General features: G+C 34.4%; 1 annotated feature.

The window, feature by feature from the left end:
* Window positions 659-828: an enhancer, noted in NCBI's record as "experimental_66440 CRE fragment used in MPRA reporter constructs". NCBI's record gives its function as "activates a minimal promoter by MPRAs in K562 erythroleukemia cells, with activity observed for both the introgressed and non-introgressed 3:163155004 variant alleles {active_cell/tissue: K562}" and the evidence as "EXISTENCE:reporter gene assay evidence [ECO:0000049][PMID:34662402]".

The raw sequence follows: 5,146 nt of genomic DNA on the forward strand, positions 1-5,146 counted from the left end.
TAAATTTTAGATTATCATAAGTCTTACAAATAAACTATCAGATGTAGAACAAGACAAGGTGTTCACTGTTACTCACTTTCACCACTGTTAATTCAGCATAGTTTTGAAAGTCAAGATAGAGGAATTAGACAAGGAAAAGAAAAAAAAGGTATTCAAATAGGAAAGGATGAATTCAAATTATCCTTTTTTGCAGATGATATAATCATTTTTTTGGAGAAACCTAAGATTCCACCCAAAACCTATTAGAGCTGATAATCAAATTCAGCAAATTTGTAGAATACAATATCAACCTACATGAATAGTTGCTTTTCCATATGTCAACAATGTACAATCTGAAAAAGAAATCAAGAAATTAATTTCATTTAGAATAGCTAGAAATAAAATAAGATATAGGAATAAATTCACCCAAAAGAGTGAAATATTTGTACAATAAAAACAACAAAAATTAATGCAAGCAATTAAAGAAGACACAAAAAATGAAAAGATATTCTCTTAATTGATTAGAAGAATCAATATTGTTAAAATATTTATACTACCCAAAGCAATCTGTAGAGTCAATACAATTCCTGTCACAATACCAATAACATTATTCACAGAAACAGAAAAAAAATCTAAAACATATATGGAACCATCAAAGACCCAAACAGATAAAGTTATCCTGAGGAAAAAATAAATAAATAAATAAAACTGGAGGAATCACATTACCTGACTTCAAATTATACTACAGAGCCATAGTATCTAAAACAGCATGGTACTGGCATAAAAACTGGCACAGACCAATGGAACAGAATAGAAAAACTAAAAATAAATCCATACATTCACACTCAACTCATTTTCAACAAAGGTGCCAAGAACATATGCAAGGGGAAGGACGATCACTTCATTAAATGGCACTGGGAAAACTGGATATCCATGTGCAGAAGAATGAAACTAGACCCCATATCTCACCATGTACCAAAATCAAATCTAAATAGATTAAAAAACTTAAATCTAAAACCTCAATCTATGAAACTCTAAAAGAAAATATTGGGAAAAATCTACAAGACATTGGTCTGGGCAAAGATTTATTAAGCAATATCTCACAAGCACAGGTACCCAAGTAAAAATGGACAAATGGTATCACATCAAATTAAAAAGCTTCTGCACAGCAAAGAAGGCATTCAAGAAAGTGAGAAGACCACCCACACCATGGAAGAAAATATTTGCAAACTATCCATCAGAAAAATGATTTAATGACAAGAATACATAATAATCCCAATAAAACTCTATAGGGAATAGTCTAATTTAGAAGATGCGTGAAAGATCTGAATAGATATTTCTCAAAAGAAGACAGACAAATGGCAAAAGGTATATGAAAAGATATTCAACATCATTGATCAGATAAATGTAAATCAAAACTACATAATGAGAGACAACTTCACTGCAGGTCAATTTGCCTTTAACCAAAAGACTGGAAATAAAGAATGCTGTCAAACATGTAGAGAAAAGGGAACCCTTGTACACTGTTGGCAGAAATGTAAATTAGTACAACCTCTATGGATAACTGTATGGAGGCTCCTCAGAAAACTAAAAATGGAACCATCATATTACTTAGCAATCCCACTGCTAGGTAATTAGTCAAAAGTATGAAAATTAGTATATTGAAGAAATATCTGCACTCTCGTGTTTATTGCAGTGCTTTTCACAATAGCCAAGATTTGCAAGAAACCTATGAGTCCATCAACAGGTGAATGGATAAAGAAAATGTGGTACATGTACACAATGGGGTACTATTCAGCCATAAAAATTAATAAAATCTGTCATTTGCAGCATGGATTGAGGTGGAGAACATTATGTCAAGTGAAATAAGTCAGGCACAGAAAAGCAAACTGCATTTTTTCACTGATTTATGGGACTTAAAAATTAAAACAACTGAACTCATGGAGATAGAGAGTAGAATGATGGTTATCAAAGGCTGGGAATGGTAGTGGTGCAGAGTGGGAAAGTGGGGATGATTAATGAGTACAAAAATATAGTTAGAATTAATAAGATCTAGTATCTGATAGCACAATATAGTGACTATAGTCAAAAATAATTTATTGTACATTTTTAAATAACTAAAAGAGTATAATTGGAATGTTTGTAATGCATTCACCTCAAGATAAATGATTGAAGTGATAGATATCCCATTCGCCCTGACAGCATTATTACACATTGTATGCCTGTATCAAAGTATCCCATGAACCACAAAAATACACTATGTACCCATAAATATTAAAAATTAAAAAAAACTGTGCCAAGTGAAATAATCCAGACACAAAAGAACAAATATTGAGTAGTTCCTCTTACATAAGTTATTTAGAATAGGCAAGTTGATAAAGAAAAACTATGGGATTCCAAGGGTTGGGGAGAGAAGAAAATCCACACTTCCTTAATGAGTGAACATTTTCTGTTTTAGAAATAGATAACATCGATTGTTATGTAATATTGCGAATGGAATTTAAACCAAAGTTGCTACATCTACATTTCATGGCAATGGCTTCTTGTGAAATCACAGCTGTTTCATAGAATGTGCTCTTCCCCAGTCCCCCACCCACATGCAAGCTATGCAGAAAACTACAGTTTCAATGGGTGATGTTGGCAATGGAAACCAGTAGCTTTGCTTCCAGAGACAGTAAATATGATATTTTATGTTGAGGGTTGAGAGTGGGCAAAACACAAGTCTTGGTTAAGTAAAAGTTGTAAGCCAGGCGCGGTGGCTCACGTCTGTAATCCCAGCACTTTGGGAGGCTGAGGCGGGCAGATCACATGAGGTCGGGAGTTTGAGACCAGCCTGACCAACATGGAGAAACTCCGTCTCTACTAAAAAAAAAAATACAAAAAAAAAAAAAAGTTGTAGCAAAAGACATGGGAAACTTACAGTGTATTTAGACTGAGGCTGTTTAGTTTGGGGTTAAGAAGGAAACTAACCAGTAATTTACCAGGGATATATTGGGAAAACAGCTACAGAAGAACTAGAGAGTCTTCCCCAACCTCGGCTGTCTGGGCCATAGTGTGCAAAAACAGTACAGGCCAGGGTGAATGCTGTGGCACCTAAAACCAAGAGTGCAATGAGAATCATTTTAAATTTGAATGTGCTTTCCAACACCCACAAAAATCAATCATCATATAATGGAAGCCTTAGGGGTTTGACATGTTTCAGCAAAACCTATGTTCAAATAATTGGCTAAAAACCTGACTAAACAGACACAAGTGCAACCTATAAAAAGCCAGTTTAGAAGCTGAAAATAAGATATCAGCAGTCATAGTTCTCAGGAAACATTTCTCAGTTTAAGCCCAGACAAGTTAACATAGAGGTAAAAACATAAAAATAAAAATAAAAAAAGGCCGGACATGAGAGTGCATGCCTGTAATTCCAGCACTTTGGAAGGCTCAGGAGAGTGGATCTCTTGAGCCCAGGAGTTTGAAACCAGCCTGAGCAATGTGGCAAAACCCCATCTCTACAAAAAGTACAATTAGCCAGGTGTGGTGGCACACATCTTTAGTCCCAGCTACTCTGGGGGCTTAGGTGGGAGGATTGCTTGAGCTTGAGGTTGGAATGGAAATGTAAAAGTAAATCAAATTATTTAAAGATATGATAAATAGGGTCAGGTGCAGTGGTTCAAGCTTGTAACCTCAGCACTTTGGGAGGCTGAGATGGGTGGACAGCTTGAAGCCAGGAGTTCAGGAGCAGCCTGGCCAACATGGTTAAGCTCTGTCTCTACTAAAAATACAACAAACAGACAGGCGTGGTGGTGTGCTCCTGTAGTGCCAGCTACTCAGGAGCACTACAGGCTGAGGCCTGTAGTCCCAGCTACTAGGGAGTCTGAGGCAGGAGAACCACTTGAACCTGGGATGAGGAGGTTGTAGTGAGCCGAGATTGTGCCAGTGCACTCCAGCCTGTGTGACAGAGTGAGGCTCCAAATCAAAAAAGAAAAAAAAAAAAATATATATATATATATGAGATAAATAAAATTAACAAAAGCAAACCAAATATCCACTTGAGGACATAAACCTACTAAATGTCATGAGGACATAAACCTATTAAAGAGTATCAAGCTTGGGTATTTCTATAAATAAATAATGATAGCTAAGGAGAAGAAACATAACTTTATCATAAATATGTCCTTTGGATTAAATGGCACACACCTCGAGCCTAAAACATTGTCTATAGAGTCAATAAGGGACAGTGATGGTTGTCTGACTGCTGCCCCAATATGAAATGGAAAAGCATCCTGAACACAAAGCTAAAATCAGTATGACTATTTATTTCAATTATGAAATTTTAGTGTGAAGTCATAAATCTATTAGTTATACCAAATTGGATATCAGACCATTACAAAGAGTATAATGAAAGACTTAGACTTTATTTTTCTAAATAGTCCCACCTCTCATGTAGATTGAATTTAAGATAATATTTCTGTGTTTGATATATTATTAAAAATTAAAGGTTCCAGCTTCATATTATTATTATCTTTAATATCTTCAGCATCTTACATTTACCTTATCCCTGGCCTCCATAACATACTATAAGCTGAAATAGAAAATGTAGTTATTCTCTTTTAAAATAATGTTTTATGTCAGGTCCTTCTTTCTCTATATCTCATTCTATCTCATTTTCACATATACATACACGATCATGCACAACACACAATGGCCTACATCCTGACTTCAAGTTACATAATGCTTGAGATGAATAATAGCACATTTTATTACTTGCTATAAAATTTAAATGTAAAAATTACTAATGTTTTCTTTTTATCTAAGTCATTTGTGAAATGTTAATAAATATCATAGGTCTTAGTTGGATACATCTAACAGTTAAAAGAACATTTCTACTGTGCTTGCCTTTACAGATGAAATAATTGGTAGTTCTGTTCATATTTTACTATTGAAAATTATATTTCCATTAGCTACTTCACATAGCATCTATTTTATTCATTTTCAGGTTCCTGTCTGTATAAAACCCTTAGTTGTTAGTATTTCACAGATGAATTTATTTATCGTGGTAAAACACATAAAAAATTTACCATTTCAAACATTCTTAAGTGTAAAATTCAGTGGATCTAAGTACATTCACATTCACTTCATCAACTGAGGCTTTGTATCCATGAAACAACAATTTCTC

The sequence above is a fragment of the Homo sapiens genome, chromosome 3 (assembly GCF_000001405.40).
Source record: "Homo sapiens chromosome 3, GRCh38.p14 Primary Assembly".
NCBI lineage: Eukaryota > Metazoa > Chordata > Mammalia > Primates > Hominidae > Homo > Homo sapiens.